This window comes from Homo sapiens, chromosome 9, assembly GCF_000001405.40.
Source record: "Homo sapiens chromosome 9, GRCh38.p14 Primary Assembly".
NCBI lineage: Eukaryota > Metazoa > Chordata > Mammalia > Primates > Hominidae > Homo > Homo sapiens.
In genome coordinates this window covers 123,002,489-123,028,482 of record NC_000009.12, presented here as the reverse complement: position 1 = coordinate 123,028,482, position 25,994 = coordinate 123,002,489, and the positions used below count along the sequence as shown (strand labels likewise).

The 25,994-nt window shown below is 36.5% G+C and overlaps 1 protein-coding gene across 16 annotated transcripts in view; it reads right to left on the bottom strand.

The window, feature by feature from the left end:
- RABGAP1 (RAB GTPase activating protein 1) overlaps nt 1–25,994 on the bottom strand; it is a 173,196-nt gene that overhangs the window by 76,384 nt on the left and 70,818 nt on the right. For 12 of the 16 annotated variants that reach the window (XM_047423130.1, XM_017014567.3, XM_017014569.2 and 9 more), the window contains 3 exons: nt 17,955–18,129; nt 12,847–12,940; nt 8,024–8,174 (listed from right to left, as the gene is read on the bottom strand). In XM_047423130.1, coding sequence (XP_047279086.1) covers nt 8,024–8,174; nt 12,847–12,940; nt 17,955–18,129 — 420 coding nt within the window. Of the gene's footprint in view, nt 1–1,943; nt 7,593–8,023; nt 8,175–12,846; nt 12,941–17,954; nt 18,130–25,994 lie in introns of those variants that run through there. The other 4 variants (XM_047423135.1, XM_024447476.2, XM_047423134.1 and 1 more) reach the window with 2 other exon arrangements.

The window sequence follows — 25,994 nt, the reverse complement described above, 5'->3', positions numbered from 1 at the left end:
CCTTTTAGAACACTTAGGTGAGAAATCCTTCATGTCATATGCAGTACAGCAGTATATATTTTTTCTTCTACAACTCCCATGCAACTTTATGATTGTTTATAGTTAACTGTCTATTTCCTTCATTAGACTGCAGACTTCCTGAAACCAGTGAACAAGTTTATTTTATTTATGGGCATATCCATGAGGCCTACCACAGGGTTGGCACAGGGTAGGCATTCAAAAGGTATTTTTTATTGAATAAACAATGAATGTCCAATGAAACAAAAGGCAATTCTGCTTCTAAGTTGAAAGATCTTTCAAGTAAAACCCCAGCATGGTAACTGTTTAACTCACCTATAATTATTAGGTCGAGGCATATGAAATTGCCTATTTGTGGGTCAAAAACTGTCAAATAGCAATTTTAACATGGACAAACCAAATATGTTTCCAGTCTTATAATTCAGGAAACCTTTAGAACTCCCAGCAAGTATGACTTACATAAACTCACACAAAGGAAAATAACTTCACAGGGATAAGATATAGGGCTTAAAATTATGTTCACAAGTAATAATTTAGAGGGACCTACTGTAGCAATTGCTGTATGACAGCAGACAATACAGTTCTAACATCCACCAGCCACTATTTTCATGTAGGACAAGGCAGCAAGAGTGCTCAGTTGTGAAAAAATGGAATTATGGCCTATTTTGGAGGGCAGGACTCAAACACACTGTCTGATTTTCCAGAATGTCAAAGCTTAAGGAAAAATCAACAGACTACCTCAGCTACCTCAGTTCAGAGAAGAGGAAATGAAGCGGCAGAACTGAAACTAGTACCCAGGCTTCCTCCTCCATGGCCAACATTCTTTTTTGCTAAATCGATCTCCTTTTATTGTTGGGTATCCACAGGCATATGCTTATGATTAAATATTATTCAATAATACAAACCTACCAGACAGAAGTTGTTAATTAAAAAGCAAAACAATCTGCGTAGTAATAACATAATAATTGAATACATTATTTTTTCCAGACTAGCAAAATGTGGCTGGGCCTCCAGGGATTCCTTTCAACAATTAGAAATGTAAATATTGGTTGGCAGGGCACGGTGGCTCACGCCTGTAATCCCAGCACTTTGGAAGGCCAAGCTGGGGGGATCACAAGGTCAAGAGATCGAGGCCATCCTGGCCAACATGGTGAAACCCCATCTCTACTAAAAATACAAAAATTAGCTGGGCATGGTGGCACATGCCTGTAGTCCCAGCTACTCGGGAGGCTGTGACAGGAGAATCACTGAACCTGGGAGGCGGAAGTTCCAGTGAGCCAAGATCGTGCCACTGCACTCCAGCCTGGCAACAGAGCGAGAGAGCGAGAGTCCGTCTCAAAAAAAAAAAAAAAAAAAGAAAAGAAAGAAAGAAATGTAAATATTGGTTATTTGAGCTTGCTACTAGTTTGCTTCTGGATAAAAGCTTGCTAAAGATTCTTATCACTGAAGTTGAAACTAGAGAAAATGATGCAGATAAGTTTAAGAAAAGATAAGCAAGGCCAAGTGGATGGAAGGAAAGAAAAACATCAGAATAGGTTGCTATTTCATTATTCTCTCGTTATTAAAATGATCTACTGAAGAAGTAGTTTGCTGTAAATTTTTGCTACTAAGCACTGAATTATAAGAAGCTAAGCCACCAACACAAAAGGTAAAAAATAACCATCAGAAAGAAGGGACAGAAGAGGATTCTGGAAGCCGGGAACAAGAAAGTGCCTTTGTTTCCCCTTCATTTTCAACTCCAACTTATTTGATTCACAAGATCCAAACAGCTGTAAGAATTACAGGCAACTGGAGGTAAGAGAAGCCATGAGAGTCTCTGTGGATTACTTATTAAGCTTTCTTCCCTCTGAGTCTGACAAGTTCTACCTAGAGGCCAGGGTTGAGGAGCTCTTAATCAAACACCAGAAGACAAAGACTACCAGGGGTGCTTGGTCTATAAAAATTTATTCCATGAAGCCAAGGGTAGTAGTTCAATATAAGAAGTCTATCACATGTTGATAGATTATGTAACTTATTCCATTAACAAATTAAAGAAAATCAGTAATAGTCCTGAAAAAGCTGATAAAATTCAGTAACATTCCTAATAAAAAATCCAAAGCAGGGATAGAAGGAAACCACTTAAATTAAACACAATTTATTATTATTTTAAGTCTCACTCTGTCACCTGGGCTGAAGTGCAGTGGCACTATTTTGGCTCACTGCAACCTCTGCCTCCGGGGTTCAAGCGATTCTCCTGCCTCAGGCTCCCGAGTAGCTGTGATTATAGGTGCCCACCACCACGGCCGGCTAATTCTTGTATTTTTAGTAGAGACAGGATTTTGCCATGTTCCCCAGGCTGGTCTCAAACTCCTGACCTCAGGTAATCCACCAGCCTCGGTCTTCGAAAGTGCTGGGATTACAGGCGTGAGCCACTGCGCCCGGCCAAAAACAAACTGTTTACCAAAAAAAAAAAAAAAAAAGAATATGTTTTCCAAAAGATTGAAAAACTAAAACCATTTTAATTAAATTCAGGAATTAGATGGGGGTGCTAGTTATCACCATCATCATTTAACATTGTCTTAATGCTTCTATAAAATATAAAGACGAAACCAAGAAAATGTAGTAGGCTGCATAAACATTGTAAAAGAGGTAAAACCGTTTTTACTGCTGATATTATTACACACCTGAAAATCTCAAAAGATGACGATATAAAGTTAGGACAATTAATCAAAATATTAAGAGGCAAATAGAAAAAATGTAAAAATCACTCTCTTTTTCCCTATTGTAGCAGTTAGCACCTACAAATGGAAACTGACAAAACTATTCCATTTGCTGTAGTGTGAACATGCTAAGTTAATTCTTAGGAACCAATTTAACAATAAAGCTACAAGATCCCTATGAAGGCAATTCAGAATTCTTGAAGGCAAAAAAAAAAAAAAAAAGAAAAGAAAGATCTGAACAAATAAAAAGACATACTGCATTCTCACATGTTAAACTTATACCTTCAACTGGTATGTAAATTAAATGCAATTCAAATAACAATCTCCACATAACCTTATAGGGTGATGGTGGTAGTGAGATTGGATAAAAGATTTTAAGGTTTTTATGGCAGATTAAATTTGCAGAATAGTCAAGTAAGGTATGAGATAGAAAACAAAGATTTGCTTTCACAGCTATCAGAAATAATACAAAGCCTTTTTAATCAAAACAGTGTGGGGACAGGAATATGCAAACAAATAATACAAAGAACAATCTAGAAATCAATCCCAGCATATATGAGAATTTAAAATATGACAAAGATGGTAGTTCTACTGAGTAGGAAAATAGGAGTAGCACAACTGGTTATCCATCTGGAAGAAAGTAAAATCGAACTGCTTTCTCATGCCACATACAAAAATAAATTCCAGATGGATTAAAGACATAAAAATTAACACACAGAATAAAAATCTTGCAAGAAAATGTTGGAAACCACATTTACAAAATATAGAGACAGAAGAGGTCTTAACCAAGACACAATTTTCTACATAAAAACTGCAAATGTCTTGTATGGCATAAAACCATAAATAAAATCATTAAAAAATATATTTATAATGCATATGAAAAGGATCAGTAAACATAATATATGGAGAGTGTTTAGAAACTGTTATCTTAAAAAGACTTCATAGATAAATGTACAAAGAACATAAATAGAAGAGCAAATCATTCAAATTTACTGGTAGCCAGAGAATTGCAAACTAAAGATATGCTAGGCCACATGCAGTGGCTCATGCCTGTAATCCCAGAACTTTGGGAGGCCGAGGTGGGAGGATCACGAGGTCGGGAGTTCGAGACCAGCCTAACCAACATGGTGAAACTTAGTATCTACTAAAAATACAAAAATTAGCCAGGCACGGTGGCATGCGCCTGTAATCCCAGCTACTCAGGAGGCTAAGGCAGGAGAATCGTTTGAACCCGGGAGGCGGAGGTTGCAGTGAGCTGAGATCGTGCCACTGTACTCCAGCCTGGGCGACAGACAGAGCAAGACTCTGTCTCAAAAAAAAAAAAAAAAGATATGCTGGCATCACTTACATCCACTGATAGTAAAAATTAAATATAACAACTAATACTGGTTGGGATATGGGGCAGCAGGTACTTTGCTGGTACAACTATATGCAACTACATTGCTGGTGGAACTGTGAATTGTCACATCCAAGTGCGCTGCACAGTATCTGACACATACTTAGTGCTAAAAAAGGTAGCTATTACTATTGTTCTATTATTTCCCTTCTGGATCCCTACTGAAATTTAAAAACCTAAAAAATTTTCACTTTAAAAAGCAAAACGGGAAGAAGAAACTAACTCCATTGCTTATTGAAATAAGAAACACCTTTAAAAGCATACTATGTATTTTATGTTACTGAAAGGTCATTTGTCCTTGGGTTAAAATGGTATATTGAAAATTTCCCACATGTACCCCATACAAGACAGGCTTGACAACTAATGCAAGATGATGACAAAGACATTAATCAGTTTTGTTTGCCAGGTTAATTTTTTTGATCTTCACTCTATAAATCAAGTCACTCTTTCCTGCTCTAGTCTTTGAAGAAGCTAAGCAAAAAAAAAATCTCAAAGTAATATTATATGTAAAATTTCAGAACACAACGCATATATCTGGCAAAGAAGCCATGTTCAGAATAAATACTTTATAGAAATTAGTGGTGTGTATATATATATACACAAATATTGTCTAAATAAGTATAATATGTACAAATCCTGCTGTGTGCAAGAATGTTTATAGCAGTTTTATTCATAATAGCTAAAACTGGAAAAAAACAAACATTTGTAATAGCCGAATATATTTTTAAAGTGTAATTTATTCATATAATGGAATACTCTAAACAATTTTTTAAAAAGACAACAAAAAACAAGCTACTGATACACTCTCAAAATAGATGAACGAAAGAAGTGAGATACAAATGAGCACGTGCTGTGTGACTGTATAAATGCATTTAAATTAAATTCAAGGATGGGTGTGGTGGCTCACGTCTGTAATCCTAGCACTTTGGGAGGCCAGGGAGGGGAGGGATCACCTGAGGTCAGGAGTTCGAGACGAGCCTAGCCAACATGGGGATACCCTGTCTCTACTAAAAATACAAAAATTAGGCAGGCTTGGTGGCGTGTGCCTGTAATCCCAGCTACTTGGGAGGCTGATGCAGGAGAATCGCTTTAATCCAGGAGGCAGAGGTTGCAGTGAGCTGAGATCATGCCACTGCACTCCAGCCTCGGTGACAGGGCAAGACTCCATCTCCAAAACAGAAAAAATTCAAGAACAATCAAAACTAACCTAAGGAGAGAAAAGCCAGAATAATGATTACTCAGGGGTGTAGTAAGGGTATTTATGACTAGAAAGGTACATGAGTAACTTTTGGGGGTTATGGATATGTTCTTGCTCTTGATAGTGGTCACCGCAGTGTATTTATATGTAAAATGTCATGGAGCTATGCACTTTTAAAAAAGTAACTTATATGCAAACTTTGACAGCTCAGCTGGTAGAGTAGACTGTAAAAAGTACCTTACTCCCCCCAAAAACATTTCAGAGTAAGTTAAAAGATGTCAATTACCATTCCCACACAATGATAACTCTTAATTCCAGGAAGACAGAAAAGAAAAGCAATACCAACTTACGTTAGCTATCACTGACATTTTTTTAAATTCACAAATATTATGGTGGTTAAATAATTTCTATTTTCTGATCATCTACTAGCAATTTAAATTAATATATATTCATTAAAAAATTTGGGGGGCCGGGCGCGGTGGCTCACACTTGTAATCCCAGCACTTTGGGAGGTCGAGGCGGGCGGATCATGAGGTCAGGAGTTCGAGACCAGCCTGGCCAATATGGTGAAACCCCATCTCTACTAAAAATTAAAAAATTAGCTGGGAGTGGTGGCAGGTGCCTGTAATCCCACCTACTCAGGGGGCTGCGGCAGGAGAATCGCTTAAACCCAGGAGGCAGAGGTTGCAGTGAGCCGAGATCGTACCACTGCACTGCACTCTAGCCAGGGTGACAGAGCTAGACTCCGTCTCAAAAAGAAAAACAAAATTGTAAGTTTAATGTGAAATATAAAGTACACATCACCAGTATATACAAATCAATCAAATGTTTCATATTTTGTTAATAGTCTTTCTTTTACATATCATATAACTACCAGGTTCCTTTTCTATCAACAGACGTCACCACTTTCAAGGAACCAGAAAAACAGAATCCATTCAGTTACAGACACTTCATGTCTTATGAATAGTCTTACCAAAATATTTCGTTTAAAGCAATAAGCTCTTAAGAATCATTTTTGACCAAACATTTCAAAGGACTTCAAAAAAAATAAGTAGTGTTACAAATCCAAAATATGATTTGCCAACAAAAGAAAATAAAAACTAGGTGTATCTCTGCTAGATATACATGTTATATAACCTTATTCTTCAGTGGCTCTGTTCATACTATGAGTACAATGCTGTACCCATCTTTCTATACCTGGAATTCATCTCAAATGTTATATTCCTGATAAAGACTCCTCTGTTCTCCCAGATAGAACTGTTAACTTCTTTTGATGGCTCCCACTGTGCTTTTTCAGACACATTCTATCATAAGACAGCTACTTGCTTTTGTGTTTAACCTCCCAGCTCCAACACTGTGGTTGTAACAGTTACTCAACGATAAATACTAGCTAAACAATTATATCAACTTAATGGAAGGAATCAGAATACTTATTGAAACAAAAAAAATCTGTCTGGATATAGGATGATGGGAAAGAACATTAATATTCTGAAGACATAAAAGTCATTTTCTGGTGAAGGTCCTATCTCATGTTTGAATGCTGTTTTTCCAGGCCAGGTGAGGCAGCTCACACCTGTAATTCCAGCACTTTGGGAGGCCAAGACAGTTGGATTGCTTGAGGCCAGGAATTCAAGACCAGTCTGGCCAAAATGGAGAAACCCTACTCTCTACTAAAATTACAAAAATTAGGCATGGTGGTGCGCACCTGTAATCCCAGCTTCTTGGGAGATGGAGGCACAACAATTGCTTAAAGCCGGGAGGCAGAGGTTGCGGTGAGCCTAGATCATGCCACTGCACTCCAGCCTGGGCAAGACTCTATTTCAAAAAAAAAAAAAAAAAAAGCCTGCTCTTCCCTTATAAGGTTTTTTTTTTTTTTTTAAATAACAGCTTTACAGAGAGATATCATTCATAATTTATAAGGTTTTAACTTTTTTTCTTTTTTAAGACAAAGTTTTACCTTCTGTCACATTGAAAAATCTCCTATATTCTTGAAGATTCTGAGCAATACATTCACGACCCAGGTTTGGGATTTGCATACTATTGGAGAAACTGCTTCCTGAAGATAAACACTTCAAGAATTTGAGAAAATTAAAACTAAAACCGAAAACATGAACACAAAGGCACAAAACATTGCCTAACATTGCAGAAAATTACTTTAAATCCTGATATGCTTGTAGAAGAAATAGTTTTTCTTGTTTTGCTTGCAAAACTTTGAGGAATGCATGAACTTCAGAAGGGGAACACCATACAAATGAGATTTTTTTCACTTTAGAGGAATGAGCTAAAAGAGAATATGGTTTAGATTAAAGAATTATTTTCTTACAGTTGCAGAAGAATTAAGAAGAACTAAGCCTTTCCTACCAAGAGCACATTTCTGTAAAATGTGAGAAGTATTAAAATAATCAAAAGAAAATTTTTACACATTGCATAGCACAAGTTGTTTGACTAAAAATGTTATTTACACTCAAAAAAGAATCTGGATATACAATGGGCTAGAAGACACCTTTGGTCTCTGAGGTGATATGAATCAAGGAGAAAAAACTATGACTTCTTCGTGCAACAGAAAAAACATGTTAGAGCTGGAAGTATTAACAGTTCTATTCTTAAATAAATTAATAATAAACACTTCTTATAAGTCAAATAACTATAATGATCTTTTCATCACAAATCTCTAAAAGGATTAATGCTGAAGCTGAATTATCACCCCCTTACCTTTGTGATAAGAATGCGGTATTTCTCTACCAGGTGGTCATTGTTATGACAGCCTGCTAGCAGCTGCCAGACTTCTCCTCGAAGAGCTTCAGGGACACCGTTTCTTACTAAGGATGACAACTGCTTCGGTCTCACATTCAAGTTGAGATGCCTAAAAATAAGGCCATAAACCATAAATCATAAAAGGAAGATAAGATTCTCTAAAGAATGTTACTTTTATCAAAGTCAATTTAAATGGCTTACAAATACGTGACAAGGTAACAAAGTAATAAAGGGAAAAAAAAGTGCTTCTGAATTAGATGAGGCCAAGATAACTAAGAGAGATTGGGTGGAAGAAAATAAAAATCCACATAGATTCTGCAAAAGGCTTCTTAAGTATTTTTAAATTATTTCTCTACTTTAAAAAAAAAAAAAAAAAAAAGCAAAACTGGAAATCACAGATGAAGCTCTATGGCTATGGTTTATATAAAAAAGATGGCCGGGCGCGGTGGCTCACGCCTGTAATCCCAGCACTTTGGGAGGCCGAGGTGGGTATATCACCTGAGGTCAGGAGTTCAAGAGCAGCCTGGGCGCCATGGTGAAACCCCATCTAAATACAAAAAATTAGCCCATCATGGTGGCGCATGCCTGTAATTCCAGCTATTCAAGAGACTGAGGCAGAAGAACTGCTTGAACCAGGAGGTGGAGGTTGCAGTAAGCCAAGATTGCACCACCGCACTCCAGCCTGGGTGACAGAGCGAGACTGTCTCAAAACAAACAAACAAACAAACAAAAAAAGAGCAAAATTCCAATCAGTGGACATATAATAAATGACAAGAACCTAGCTCTACATCAAACTGACAAGTGGTCAGCAGGGCATGGTGACTCATGTAGTTCCACTGCTTTGAGAGGCCAAGGTGGGAAGATTTCTTGAACCCAGGAGTTCTGGACCAGCCTAGGTAATATAGCAAGAACCCCGTGTCTACAGAAAAATAAAAATAAGCTGGCATGATGGTTATATTCCTAGCTACTTGGGAGGCTGAGGCAAGAAGATCGCTTGAGCCTAGGAGTTCAAGGCTGCAGTGAGAGACCGCACCACTGCACTCCAGCCTGGGTGACAGAGACAGACTTTGTCTAGAAAAAAAAAATTGACAAGAATATTGTATATTTATATGTTCTAAGTTAAAATAAAATATCTCAAGTATGTTTCCAACAGTTTTTATGATGCTTTCCTTCAAATAACTTTTCTGAATGTTTATGGTGGCTAATAACATTTCCACTGAACTACTATATCACTACAAGTTATCGAAATCTTTGGACTTCATTTATGTCACCTATAAAATGGGGAAAATTAAACTAGCCTTGAAATGTTGGTATAAATGTACAATGTGCTTCTGCATACAGTATCTTATTTGACCTTCAGAACAACCATCTGAGGTAGATGGTAGTACCTCTAGTTTTACAGATGCAGAAAAAATTTCAGGGAAGTCAATTAAATGACTGAGGTAGTCCTCAAATTCTTAAGACTAATGAATGCTCTGTTATAGAGCAGCTGGTTTGTGACTTGAGAGCCACCATTACTGAGTCAATAAAACAGGATCCTGACATTAAGAAGATGCTGTGGCTATCAGACGTAAGCAGAAGTTACTGATACAAAATAACCACTATCAAATTATAAAAAGGCCTGTGATTTTTCTCAAAATGTTCACAGAATCCTATAAGAATTCTGCACAGCACATTTAAAAGTGATTTATTCTGTGACACTGGTGCCCTAATGCAAGTGCTATGGACAGTTCAATAGTTTTCTCCTTGTTTAGATAAAAACATTATGTAAAAGTTGAAAAGTTATGAGCAGAAAGAACAGACATAGTTCTGCTGCTAACCCAATCCCTGGTATGCTATAGCCTGTGGGCCACACTGGGCCTAACTATCACCTGTTCTCATAAATAAACTTTTACTGAAACACAGTCATGCTTATTTGTCTAAGTATTGTGTATGATAGCTTCTGCATTACAATAGTAGAACTGAGTAGCTGTGACAGACTATTAGCCTGCAAAACCTAAAATATTTATTATTTGGCTCTTTACAGACAAAGCCTGCTAACCTTACTAGCTTAATTTACATTGATAAAATTACTTTCAGAATAATTTCATCTCATTGATAATATTAACTTTATCCAACTTAGCAACCTATTTTATACTGACATTAGTTCTCTTATCCATTAACAGTCATATTAAAATGAACTTGTCACGAGGTCAGGAGATCAGGACCATCCTGGCTAACACGGTGAAACCCTGTCTCTACTAAAAATACAAAAAATTAGCCGGACGAGGTGGCGGGCACCTGTAGTCCCAGCTACTCAGGAGGCTGAGGCAGGAGAATGGCATGAACCCCGGGGGGCAGAGCCTGCAGTGAGCCGAGATCGCGCCACTGCACTCCAGCCTGGGCGACAGCGAGACTCCGTCTCAAAAAACAAACAAAAAAAATGAACTTGGAGAATTAGAGCTCAAAGATACTATTAATACTACCACTAAAATCTAATATAGAGTTAAATAAACCAGCCTTGGGATCAGCCGTGACTGTGTTAAAAATTCTGGTTGTGACATTTACTAACTAGAATGCCTTAACCTATGCACCAGTCTCATCTGTAAAAAACAAATACTTTATAAGGTTGTTAGAGTTGACACAGAGCACATAACAGCACAGTGCCTAAAATATGGTAAATTCATTAGTTCTATGTTACTATAACTACAACCATGGCATCCATTATTTTTAATCTATAATAATTACAAATGGTAATTTTATAGACTTCTATTTTCTAAATGAAGAAACAGACTCAAAAGAGTTAAGTGACTTGTCTAAGACCACACAGCTTAAAAGTAGGAGAGGTAGAATTTGAAACCAGGTCTACCAGGCTTTAAAATTCCATTATTACAATGCTTCTTACCCATAGAACACATATCCATAGAACACAAATAATAATGAGAAAAAATAATGATGTAATGAACTAAAGAAGAGACACTATTATATCTGAAGACATGACTAAAGCAAGCAAAAATAGTTTAAATACCCTGAAAGATGGCAGACACAGATGGAAACTCAATAAATACATTTGAGGGAATAGGAAGACATGTTAATTAAATGAATAACAAAGCTTGATAACAAAACGAATTCCAAGTTGTATAAGATGCTGATGGGTTCGTGTAATAAAATCTAACTAGAGTCTTAATGCTATATCTACATGATTTTAAATATATTATGTAACCATGTCAAAACTCAATTATGTTTCTGTTTTAGAGCAGAAACCTTTTTATACAGATAAAATTCCTGCCAGCAGCATCCCAAACACTCCAAACTCAATGAACTGAAAATATTATTGTGACAAGAGCACCAGAAGTTTTGTCTCCTGATGTAAAGAAATACCAAAAATATAAGAAAACTATTACTCTGGTTTTTTTGCAGAGTTCATTTATTAAAACAACTTGTGTAAAGACAAATCGTGCTTTGGTTTGCTTTTTTCTCCTGTACACATTTGACATTTTCCAGTGTGGAGAGTGTTTTGTCAAAAGTGTAAAGCATTGTGAGAGTAATATAAAAGCAGATAATGCCCATTTGTAGTCCTATCCCTTAAGGGCATGACACAATGCTTTAAAATTCTGAGACACAGCTTTATTCTAACAATGCAGTGAAATACTTCAACAGTTAAAATGTCTGAGAAAAATCAAACCCCAAAGTAACAGGCCAATAGGGAGTTTATTTGACAACCCTAGTAACCAGAATGTCAGAAATAGAGAAGTGTTCAGATCACTTCCAAGCTCAGCTTTTTTCAGCATATACTGGCATCCTATTCAAGGAGAAAAGGAAACTGCATAAATGTCTCACCAACCTGACTTACCAGAATATCTGTGGTCATGTTAAATACCTAAAGGCAATGTATTCTTTTTGTTTGGTATTTTTTCTTTTTTGTTTTTTGGAGAAAGGGTCTCAACTCTGTCACCCAGGCTGGAGTGCAGTGGTGCAATCAAGGCTCACTGCAGCCTCAAACTCCTATGCTCAAGCGATCCTCCTGCCTCAGCCTCCAGAGTAGCTGGAACCACAGGTGTGCGTCACCACGCCCAGTTAACTTTTTCAATTTTTGTAGAGATGGGGTTTCACCAAGTTGTCCAGGCTGGTCTTGAATTCCTGGGCTCAAGCAATCCTCCTGCCTTGACCTCCCAAAATGCTGAGATTACAGGCATGAACCACTACACCCATCCTGAAGGCAATGTATTCTTTTTAGATAGCCTATAGGATAGTGCTTCTTAACACTGCTGTCAAACCATCTCTTGAGCTGATGAGAAATTCCTAAAATTTGTAAGTGTTAGTAGGAATTTTATAAGAGATAGTAATCGATAGAGCAGGTAATATATACCATGCTTATGACACTTTGCTCTGTCATTCTAGATACTTATCACAGATAAGGGAAAAATCCTACCTGGGGTCTCTACCATGGCTCTATGCATTGTGTGAACACCCTCTAAACTGACTGTTGTGTATTATCTGAACCACTCAGTGGTTCCTAACCTCTTCAACATAAAAGATACTTTTCTTATTTATTCTGTACATGAATTCCACATTTGGATAAATATTTTCTCCAGCAATGAGAATTTATTAGGTTCCTGATATTCTGAAAATTGATTTCAATTCTCTACTTTTACTCATATAAATCCCTAAAATAGATCACAGAATGCAAACATTGCGCTTAGGTTTCTACTACTGGTTCCAAAATTGATTATAGTTAGGTAAGATTCTCTACCCATAAAATGAAAATTGCAGATAAAAAAAACTATTCTATCATAACTTACCATTTTGACAACAGTTCTCCCCATGTTTCAAGAATTTTTTCTGCACATTCTTTGGATACATCACCAGATCCACTCAGGAGAGGTTCATCATTATCTATAATAAACAAAACACACAAAAACGGTAACAGAGATGGCTATGCTAGCCAGAAGAACACTGGAATGTTAAGAGTCAAATTTGAAAGACTTTACTGGGAGCATAAAGTCATAATTTCTCTCTTTTAGTATTTATGGATAGGTACAAAGAAAATAAAAATAGTTCTAGGTAAAATGCTGTAACCTCTTTAATTCTCTTTTGTTTTCCACATAGGTCCATAATTATGTCAATTGCAAAAAAAAAAAAAAAAAAAGGAGCTATTTAATTATAAAACTATAGGATTCAAAATATGGTATTTTCTCTCATTTTCCAAAGCAAACAGCTTTATGCATGAAAATATATGTCTTATTTAAAACACTTAAAAAATTTCAAACTACCTAACTGTCCAACAATAGGAGTAGAGAATGGTTGAAGAAATTATAATATATGTATATAATGCAATTGCATGTTGACATTTATGTTTATATAATAATGATATGGTTTGGCTCTGTGTCCCCACCCAAATCTCATCTTGAATTGTAGTTCCCATAATCCCACGTGTCATGGGAAGGACCCGAAGGGAGGTAACTGAATCATGGGGGCGGTTTCCCCCATGCTGTTCTCATGACAGTGAGTTCTCATGAGATCTGATGGTTTTATAAGCATCTGGCATTTCCCCTGCTGGCACTCATTCTTCTCTTTCCTGCTGCCATGTGAAGAAGGACATGTTTGCTTCCCCTTCTGCCATGATTCTAAGTTTCCTGAGGTCTCCCCAGCCCTGCAGAACTGTGAATTAATTAAGCCTCTTTTCTTTATAAATTTTGCAGTGAGCCAAGATCGCACCACAGAACTCCAGCATGGGCAACAGACCAAGACTCCGTCTCAAAAAAAAAAAAAAAAAAAAATTAAACCTCTTTTCTTTATAAATTACTCAGTCTCGGTCGGGTATGTCTTTATTAGCAGTATGAGAACAGACTAATACAAATGATACGGCAAAATACGGTATAAAATGAAAATACAAAGAGCTTAATATTCATTATGATCTAATCTATGTTATAAAATAGAAAACAGATAGGTATAAACTATACCAAACACTAACAATTGCTCCCTCTGAGTGATGAAGTTATGATTGGTATTTTTCTCTGCTCTTTTATGTTTTTATGACTTTCTAAATTTTCTAAAATGGGAAATATTAATTTATAAAAGAAAACACAAACATACTTTAAAAGGCCAAATTAAATCGTTTCTAATTTAATTCAATTAAGGAAAGTAAATTCAAGTCAGAAGTTAGAGATTATAAGATATGAAGACAGTGAAATAAGTGGCACTGATCAAGGCATGAGAGGAACTAAAAAGCATAATAAAAGCAGAGAATAAACATGGACTAAGATATCTACTTAATCCTCTTGCTTGACACTCAGAGAGTTTTTAACTTTTTGCTACAAACGGAATCAGGATGAATATATCTCATTGCTTTCATCGGGTTTATGTCCAGAAACTGACTTTCTCAGTTTTAAAAAGAATGCATATTTTTAAGAATACTGAAAATTTCCGACAAACTGACTTCCAAAATGTTCTACCAATTTACAGTTCCACTAACTGGGTTACAACAGTACTTGTTTCCATGGATCTTTACCAATGCTCTTTCTAGATTTTGTTTGTTTTTATTTTTTAGCTTAACTTGCCTAAACAAAGTTTGGATCTTTACACCTCTAATGACTACATGTTGAATCTGCATCTCCAACAGAGACAGCAATCATCTGAAAGCACTAATTTTAAAGACTCAGAAATCTGTGATACTTCTTATTGAACGTTTTTATATTATAATGCTTTGGACATTATCATCAGTTTTGCTGGTGAGACACAGAAGATGATAGAATGTGAGAGATCTTCTATATATGGATGAATAAGGTAAAGAAGAGAAAAGGCTAGGCCCGGCACGGTGGCTCACACCTGTAATCCCAGCACTTTGGGAGGCCAAAGTGGGTGGATCATCTGAGGTCAGGAGTTCGAGACAAGCCTTGGCCAACCTGGTGAAACCCCATCTCTACTAAAACATACAAAAATTAGCTAGGTGTGGTGTGGGCACCTGTAATCCCAGCTACTCAGGAGGCTGAGGCAGGAGAATCACTTGAACCCAGGAGGCGGAGGGTGCAGTGAGCCGAAATTGTGCCATTGTACTCCTGTCTGGGTGACACAGCGAGACTCCATCTCAAAAAAAAAAAGAAAGGCTCAAGGGCACTAAGGTAAATGTCCCCAGCTTCACTACCTTGCAAGACTGGCCCTACTTTCTAATCTCTCAAGTAATTTTCTATTTATTAAAACACCAATATACCAAATACAACTCTTTGGGGAAAGGTGGCTATGAAAAATGTACTAAAATTTAGAAGGGATGGTAATTTCTTCAAAAATATTAGAAAAACTTTTCTTACAAAATTCTCTTTCACATTTTGGATACTTTCAATAAATCTGGGTAGTAGTAGTTTAAAATCTGTGTTAAGAACCCATCTGCCTAAGGTGGGGTAGGACAAGCATCTCAGTTTCAGAATGATGCTTCTAAACATGTCCCCTTTATAATTTCTGGGTTTCTGCCAAATGTCTTATGGGTAAGAAGCCTCTCGAGAGAAATGTAATCATTTCTTCCCTGGAAGCAAACAATCACAGCAGGAATGGTTTCTCTGGTTTGTACACTGCGTTAGGGAGAATTAAAAGATAGCATGGCTACACAGTTTTCTTTAGTCCCAGTTCTCCTGTTATTAACTCTTCACTATAAAAATGAATTCTAGGGGGTTACCCATACTGCCAATATTTACTGAGCACCAACTACATATCAGATGTTGTGGTATACGCTAGGGAACAACATGAGGCAAAAGCAGACACTCTTTTCCTTCACAGAGCTTATGTTCTAGTGTTCCATGATTTCCCCCAAGGGGTACACACTGCCATTAGTCCTTATCTCTCCCTAGTTAAGAACTATCAGTAGAGGCCTTCTGAACCCCCTAAAATTTTATTTTTAAAAAAGGTATGTCTGCTATAAATTAAAACTTGATGCCAGTCCTGAGGAACCTTTAGTCGGGCCCAGATTTCTTTGTAACCAGCAGATATTCCTCAAAATCTATGGTATGAAGATTTGAGCATTCTCTGGTTTCATAATAGTGTCTTTCTCAATTTTTGTGTTTGTTTTGTTTTATTTTTATCGCTGAGTGTTAAGAGAGGAAAGTTATGTAAACTTTTACCCACTCTGTCATCTTAACCAGTGTTGACCTAGAAGAGAAACTGCAAACCTCAATCAAGACTGTTACACAACAGACAATTTCAAACAGTGGGAACAATCCACCTTTCCCAGATATAACATATGACTTAAATTGGCTCTCCAGGGGGACTCTGAATTGCATCTCTGACATCAAAAACAATACATATGCTTTTTCCATACTTCAAAATGCTTTATGTGAACTAAATGCAAGAGATGATGATAGACTACAGCTATGACTGTGGATTCACAGACCTAGATCCAAATCCTGACTCTGCCAATTTCTAGCTGTGTAACCTTGGGCAAATTCACTTTTCTGAGATTCCATTTCTTTTTGTTGTTGTTGTTGTTGTTGTTGAGACAGAGTTTTGCTCTTGTTGCCCAGGCTGGAGTGCAAATGGCGCAGCCTTGGCTCACTGCAACCTCCACCTCCTGGGTACAATCAACTCTCCTGCCTCAGCCTCCCAAGTAGCTAGGATTACAGGCATGCGCCATCACACCCAGCTAATTTTTTTGTATTTAGTAGAGACAGGGTTTCACCATGTTGGCCAGACTAGTCTCGAACTCCTGACTTCAAGTGATCCTCCCACCTCAGCCTCCCATGCTGGGATTACAGCCATGAGCCACCGTGCCTGGCCAGATTCCATTTATGTGCAAAGTTAGGTTAACAATAAATCCTATTTTTCAGGATTATTATGAGGATTATATTAAGCACAGTAATTAGTGGCCATTAGTATTACTAATAAATGATGCTAAATTGATTAATCATAAGGGCAATGGGAGTTATAGCAAACAGTAGGTATTGGAAACTCAGTGCTCACTCTAAACATGAAGAAAGTCAGTGCTCACTCTAAACTTGAAGAAAGTACATGGATACGTTTCATTTAACCAAATCAATCATTCTTGCCATCCCCATGCTTTTGTTAATGCAACTTCTTAACTAGAAATTCCAAGGAACTCCACTGATGACTACTAGATTCTCCTTGCACTTAAAAGTCCCAACTGAAAAACTACTCTTTATGATGCCCCACAACATTCCCCACAATGAAAACCGAATTCTCCTCTATGAATTTCCAGAACATTTCCTGTGAGCTTCACATATAGATGCATGGCTCACATGATCTTATATTGTAATCAGGTTTTCTTCCATTAAATTCGAAGCCCTGGTAGTAAGTTAGAAATTAGAAAACGACTCTCATTCATGTTTCCTGTGGCTCCCTTCCTTCATGCCTCATTAAAAGGTAATTATATCTTTTAATAGAGAATGACAGATTAATTCAATAGATTTAGCCAGAAAAAAAAAAAAGAAACAAAGAACCAGTGGATTCTTAACGTTTATCAGTGTAAAACATAGTAATATATAAACGTATATATTTATAAATATATTTGGTAAAAAGGGTCATGTGTGCAAGCCACATTTTGGCACAGTGAATTTGTTCCTGCAAAATGAATGTGTTGAGATAGGAACATTTCTTTAGGTGTAAGCTGTGTCAAACTTGTTCTAAAAAAAAATGTGCTAATATACCAAGCTAGCACTACACTGATTGTTTAAAAGGAGCTAATTATAAATCTCATTTTTCCAACTGGGTTACAAGTATCTTAAAGAAAACTCAATGTTAATCATTTTTAAATCTCCCACAGCTACTTACATATAGTAAACTCTCATAAGGAATTCATTAAATGAATTATAAATGCCGTATCACATTATCAATCCCCTGATACGATTTTAATAGTTTGCATGGTCTTCCACCCCCAAAAATAAATTAAGCTATCCCTACAGTTTACCTTCCTCTTCATCATCTTCTGGAGGAGAAGGTATCACTGAACTTTGCGATCCAGACTGTGGCAGGCGAACTGAAGGACTGGCTGTAGTTTTCCTCCTCTCTCTTTCTGATTCACTTTCCAAGCATACAACTTCATATAAAGTGTCAGTATTATTCTTTCTCTCCCTTTGCTTTATCTTGAAGATGAAAAAATATTATTTATTAAGCAGTAAAGTTCTTTATGTTTTTAATTAATTGCAGTGTTTTTAATGTTTTTAATTGCAGTGATCTCGGCTCACTGCAATCACTTCTGATTTCATACAGGATGTGAAAATAAATGATGTTTTTTTGAGTATCTACATTAGAAGTAACTTTTTAAAACAGAAAAGCATATGTTTAGATCTTAAAATTCTTAGGAAAATTGGGCATTTACTAAGCAGTACTCTAGTTCTGCTTCAAACCATATTGGTTTGTCTTCAAACCATATTGTCAAGTATCCAACTACCAATGTTTAACCAGTGTCAACTAAAGAGCTAACAGTTCTGTATCTCCCAAATTAGTGAAGGCATCCTTCAAGGTTTCCTATATAAAACTACACAGAAAAAGTGTTTTAAATTACTCTAAAACATAAACTTCAAGACTAAGAAAATTCTTACTTCTAATAATGTTCCAGTGTTTTATCCCCACTCCTTTTGCTTAAAACAGTGTAGAGAACTTTTTCTTCAACTGAAAGCTACAACTTGGAGTTGGGGTGGGGTCAGGGGGAGGTGAATGGCAGAGAACACATCAACAGTAACCACAAAAATGTTGATTACTCCAACTGATTGTATTTTAGTTTTATTTTGAGGCAAACATATAATTTAAACTGACCTAAATTAAAAATTTAAACCAGGAATATAAAACTTTACACTACAATACACATTATAAGTACATTAACATTCCATATTACATGTAAGTAAGTATACTAACATTCTTCCTTCCATATAAGGAAGGTAGCATGAAATATAGGGAAGAATAAAAAGGGAGAGCTATAGGAAAAGGTACAGAGAAAACTAGAAAGGTGGCTATACAAAAATATATATATACACACATACCAAAGTAAAAACACAGAAAGGGAGATGGGGGAATAAGATGTTCATGAGCTATAGAAATATCAGCCAGAGCAGATTTTTATCATTGCAATGTTCATTTGGGTTCTTAAAATAAATTAACCCTATCATGGAAGTAAGGCCACGATAGTGGCAACATGCTCTTTCAATATCATCTTGAAGCACTGTTTAATACAGAAGTCAGTAAACTTTTCTGTAAAGAGCCAAATAGTAAACATTTTAGGCTATATGGGCCAGTTGTCTCTATTACAACTACACAACTCTGCTGTTATAGTGCAAAAGCAGCCAGGCAATAAATGAGTGAGTTTGGCTGTGTTCCAATAGAACTTTATTTACAAAAACAAGTGACAGGCCAGGTTTGACCTACAGGCCTGTCTGTCAACTTTGGTTTAACATGTCCACCCAAGGATTACTTAATTTTCTAGATGAATATGCCATTTTGACTTAGCTACTTACTATTAATTAAGGACTCAGACTCTGAAGTTACATGTTAACCTATAGATTTGTGTCCAGGAGATATGCAAATGATTTCTGTCCAAGAGAAAATATAACCCAAAAGTTACCTAAAGGACATTAACCAGTTTTATTTCTAATCTAGTAATCTTTTTGTAACATTCTTTTTTTTGAAAGGAAGGACCATGTAAATCCAAGTTCCACAAGTACTCAGAGTTTTGCTACCTTTCTGGTTCTCTCATTAATTAATACACTGAATTAGAATATTTGATACATGTTCATTCTAAATTGATAATTATGATTTTTAACTCTTGAAAATTATACTTTAATAAGAAAGAGAATTTAAAATTTTTGTTTTGTTATAAATTGCTCTTTGAAACATCAGACAATTGGTATCCTAAACAGTTCAAAGATCAGCAATAGCTCTTTTTTTTTTTTTTTTTTGAGATGGAGTCTCCCTCTGTCGCCAGGGCTGGAGTGCAATGGCATGATCTCGGCTCACTGCAACCTCTGCTTCCTGGGTTCAAGCGATTCTCCTGTCTCAGCCTCCCGAATAGCTGGGATTACAGGAGCCCGCCACTATGCCCAGCTAATTTTTTGTATTTTTAGTGGAGACGGGGTTTCACCATGTTGGCCAGGCTGGTCTCACGATTTACCTGCCTTGGCCTCCCAAAGTGTTGGGATTACAGACATGAGCCACCGTGCCCGGCCAGCAATAGCTCTTTATCTTAAAAATAAACAAACCAACGTGGTCCACTTAGAAACTCTTCTGTATGTCATAATGACCAAAGGACACGCTGCCTTTTGAAGTCAGATAAATACAGTCAATTACTGGACCAAACTTGTAAGCCAAGGACTCTAACTATGAAAAATGTTAATTGTTGAAGCTGGGTAATAGTACATGGGGATTCGTTATACTATTTTACAATTTCTGCATATGTTTGAATTTTCCATAGTAAAAAGCTTTTTGAATTATATATGTTAAATATAAAACTTTTATATATTAAATTATACATATAATTTAAACATAGGTTTTAAATTATATATAAAATTTAAACATAGGTTTTAAATTATATATAAAATTTAAACAGGTTTTTAAATTAGATATATTATATTTATGAAATATATGTTATAAACATATAAAATAATTAAAAGCAGTCAGATGAGACAAAAAAGGGTAGACTTGAATAAATGGAAAGACATCCCATGTTCCTGGATAAGATGACTCAACATCATAAAGATGTCAATTTTCCCCAATAAAAACATCAGCAGTGGCCAGGCATGATGGCTCATGCCTGTAATCCCAATACTTTGGGAGGTTGCGCATTTTGGGAGACTAAGGTGGGCAGATCACCTGAGCCCAGGTGTTTGAGATCAGCCTGAGCAACAAAGGCAAAAGCCCATCTCTTTCTTAAAAAAAAAAAAAAAAAAAAAATACAAAAACTTAGCCAGGTGTGGTGGTGCGCATCTGTGGTCCCAGCTACTCAGGAGGCTGAGACAGGAGGATCACTTGGGCCCGGGAGGCAGAGGCTGCAGTGAGCTGAGATCGTTCCACTGTACTCCAGCCTATGTAATAGAGCAAGACTCTGTCTTGGAAAAAAAAAAAAAAAAAAAAGCCAGGCTCAGTAGCTCACGCCTATAATCCCAGCAATTTGGGAGGCCTAGGCAAGTAGATTACTTGAGGCCAGGAGTTCAAGACTAGCCTGGCCAACATGATGAAAGCCCATCTGTACTAAAAATACAAAAAATTAGCTGGGCCTGGCAGCACATGCCTGTAATCCCAGCTACTCTGGAGGCTGAGGCAGGAGAATCACTTGAACCTGGGAGGTGGAGGTTGCAGTGAGCCAGGATCATGCCACTGCACTCCATAGTGAGACTCTGTCTAAAAAAAATAAAAAATAAACCCACAAACAAATGAAAAACACCAGTAGTTTTTTTTTTCCAGAGCTACACAAGTTGAACATAAAGTTTATATGAAAAATAAACAAGTAAAAAAATCCAGGAAAACCCACAAAAAGGAGTATTTGAGGAGGGAAGGTAGACCTACCAGATATAAAAACATATTATAAAGTCTACACATTGTCAGGTGCAGTGGCTCACGCCTGTAATCCCAGTAGTTTAGGAGGCTGAGGCGGGTGGATCACCTGAGGTCAGGAGTTCGAGACTACCCTAACCAACATGGTAAAACCTCGTCTCTATTTAAAATGCAAAAAATTAGCCAGGCGTGGTGGTGCAACCCTGTAATCCCAGCTACTCGGGAAGCTGAGGTGGGAGAATTGCTTGAACCAGGGAGGTGGAGGCTGCAGTGAGCCAAGATCGCACCATTGCACTCTAGCCTGGGTTGACAGAGTGAGACCCCATCTCAAAATAAATAAATAAATAAAAATAAAGTCTACATAATTACAACCGTGTGATTCTAATGCAAGACCAGAGGAACAGAATATAAATACCAGAAAGAGGTTCAAACACACAGGGAAATTTCATATATGATAAGTGTAGCATTTCAAATCACTGGGTAGAAAAGTTAATAGTTTTTAATGAATGGTGTTGGGACAAGAGAATAGCCATTTGGAAAAAGATTAAATCAAATCCACACTTTACGCTATATACCAGAGTACACAGGAATAAAATACTAATGAATCAGAAATCTAAAAGAGTAAAATGAAACCATATAAGTAACAGGAGAGTAACAGAAGAGTGTATTCTTTTTGTAACTTGGGAGTTAGGAAAGCCTTTCTAACTATGATCTCAAATCCAGAGAGGTTTAAAAGAAAATACTGATATATTCAAGTACATAAGAAGAAACTGCATGACAAACCCAAAAAGAATCACCATGATGTAAGCTAAAAGATAAGTGACAAACTGGGAGGACTATCATATCTCCAAGGGTTAATCTCTCTTGAATATACAAAGAGGTTCTGAAAATAAAGACGAAAAAGACCAAAGTCAAAGAGAAAAATAAGCAAAAGATATGAATAGAAAATTCACAGAAAAGTCACCCTTATACATTAAAAAGGCAGAGGATAAACTAAAACTATTCTTAGACACCACTGCCTCACAGATCCTTAAGTCTGACAACACACTCGACAACCCTGCAGAGAAACAGGTATTCTCATACCCTGTCCATGGTTACACCTTCTACAGAAGGGAATTTGGCAAATATAACAATAGCATATGTACGTTCACCTTATGTGTCAGTGATTATACTAATAGGAGTCTATTCTAAGATGCACTTTCATAAAATCAAAATAACACATACATAAGATTCCACACTGCAACATTATTTGGAACAGCAAACGACTGGAAACCAGTCCAAGTGTCCATCAATAGCAGACTGGTTGAAAAGCCCATAGTTCATCCAAATAGGACAGTACTAAATAGCCATTAAAACGGAAATGAGGAAATCTCTATGCACTGATGTGGAATGATCCCCAGGATATATTAAGTTTAAAAAGCAATGTATAGGATAAGACATATGGAGTATGCTAATTTTTATTTCAGAAGGAAGTTAAAAATATACAGAATTTTATCTTCACAAAAATGAAATCAGGATAATAAACCATAAACCAATAATAATTGTTATCTATGGGTATGGGGGTAAGGAGATACAAATGGAAGCGGACTTCCGAGTATACATTTCTACATAATTATGACATTTATAAGTATTTTATATATTCAAAAAAAAAAGGAAAAAAAAAAATCCCAAGCCCCTAAGCTAAAATAAATGGAAACAAATGAACCTAACTATATGTCAAACGGTAACAGAACCACAATAAAAAATTATTCCCAGTGATTTTTAAACAGCAACCATTTTATAATCTTACTGAAACATATTCAAAGGACAAAAAGAAGTTCCATAAAATCTTAAATTTCACCCAATAATTCTATTATTAACTGCAAGACTTTTTTAGTTTTTTTTTTTTTTTTTTTTTGAGATGGAGTTTCACTCTTGTTGCCCAGGCTGGAGTGCAATGGCGCGATCTCGGCTCACTGCAACTTCTACCTCCCAGGTTCAAGTGATTCTCCTGCCTCGGCCTCCCGAGTAGCTGGGATTACGGATGTGCACCACCACACCCAGCTAATTTTGTATTTTTAATAGAGACAGGGTTTCGCCATGTTGGTCAGGCTGGTCTTGAACTCCTGACCTCAGGTGATCCATCTGCCTCGGCCTCCCAAAGTGCTGGGATTACAGGCATAAGCCACCGTGCCTGGCTGACTTTTTTAGATTTTGATGAAGATAAGGCAAATAAATTATTTACTGTTACTGTAAATAAAATATATGCATATAAATATTTTAAAAAGAAAATCCTGTAATGTCAAATTATTACTGAAAATACGTGAATGAACTCAACTGAATCAGGTAAATATCACCAACAGATACTAAAAATATTAGTTAATTAGTTATTGGCTGGGCATAGTGGCTCATGCCTATAATCTCAGCACTTTGGGAGGCTGAGGTGGGAGTATCATTTGAACTCCAGTTTGAGACCAGCCTGGGCAACATGGTGAAACTCCGTCTCTCCAAAAAATTAAAAAATTAGCCAGGCATGGTAGTGCACCTTGATCCCAGCTACTTGGGAGGCTGATGTAGGAGGATCACTTGAGCCCAGGAGGTCAAGGCTGTAGCGAGCCGTGCTTTTGACACTGCACTCCAGGCTGGGCTGCAGAGTGAAGGAAAAAAAAAACAAAAAAGACGTTGTTGAGATACAGGATATTTGGAAGTTGCCAAAGCGTCACCCCCAAAGATTACTTGCTAAGTGTCAAGAAAAACCCTATTTTACAAAGGAGAGATCCAGTGGTCACCACCTTAATTAAGTGATCACACTTCCCATCAGAAATACTGGAACAACCTAATATCACACACCTCTCAATTCAGCAGTGGAATGGAAAGCATTTGTATATTTTTATCTTGAGAGGAATGTGTGTACCACACACATACACTCTCAGCAAATTAAAATAAGAGGCCCGGGTATCCAGTTATAGTTATACTAATTATCTGTACAACATTGGCCATACCACTTAGTCTTTCAGATATCAGCTTCTTCATTTATAAAACAGTAATTTTATGAAAGATTTTAAGACCCCTATAGTTTAATTGGCAATAAAAATGACATTATTCTATAGTTATAAGAATGTTTAATTGGTCTTTTGTTCGCCTTATGTCACTATTGGAAAATCTATTCATTAGCTCATTTTCTTGCTCTTTCAGTAAGTAGTATAAGAAAATTTAAGTCCAAGAAAGCAATCCTCCTGTCCCTACTAATGTTTAGTTTCTTCTCTACTATGATGCTATCTTAATATAACAGTCTCACAGATGGGAAGGCTTCCAGGATAAAAGGAATTGCTGAGTCACCAGATAATTTTAGTGAAAGGAAAAAGAATCAATTTTTAAACAGGTCTTAAAAAGCATTTACATATTGTTTTCCTATACTGGCAGCAAAAAACAGAAATGCTGTATGTTGTATATTCTTAAATTTGCTTTGTAGCATTGTTTCCTTTTCAGTCTAAGGAGAACGGAAAATGGTTAAAATTTTAAATTATGCTTAATTTCAGTAAATCCTAAAAATACTCTTATAGATGAAAAGACAAAAGTAGCATGTTTCTCTGGAGAGTGTCCTGGCAGAGACTTTTAAAAGGCTTAGATATATGTTTTGTTCATATAACATCCCATAAAATCTACTGCTAAATATCTTTGGATCTCAGTTTCCTCATCTATAAAGTGAAAATACTATTTATCCTCATTGAATCACTGTGAAAACTACCTAAGATTTTAAAAAGTGAAGTAGCCAAGACAATGATGGTCACAGTTGAACCTCAAATACTTTTTAATGCCATGAATGTAAAAGAGGGAATACATTTAGTTTATTAAGTTACAAGGGGTGAGATTAACAGTGTTCTAAATGCTTTAAGACAGCGAAAAGTTGTTCAAATTCTTCCCATTCTACCTCTCCTTTCCCACTCCCTAGCACTCCCCCTAAATCCCCGCACAAACACAAAGACTTATCCAAATAAGGAGAAAAATAAAAGATTATCATCGGGAATTTCCTGCTCTCCCCCGAGCTTCCACATACACACTTCTGCTTTTTGCAAAGAAAACAGTGAAAACTCGGCTTAAGTTTAGTTTGTAGCCTTAATAAAGAGTCCAGAGCAGTCTCTTAGGCTGCATTTCAGGTATGTTTTTGGCTGGTTTACCCTGTCAAGTCATTTTTTAGCCTAACTAAAAAAAAATTAAGTTATTAATAGAAGTTATGTTATTATTTGAATAACATACTGTATGATAATATTTTAAAAGTTTTACATTGAATTAACATGTAGCTCTGATTATGGTTGCTAAAAATAAAAAATAAATTTTTAAAAATAAAATTAAATAAATTTGTTTCCATAGAAAGATATATTCTTCTATACCCAACCACAAAACCTTGTAAACCCATGCAGTCTTTGAATCCAAGGTTGTATAACATTAGATGTCAAAAGGAAATGCAAGATCAGGGGAATCTTAT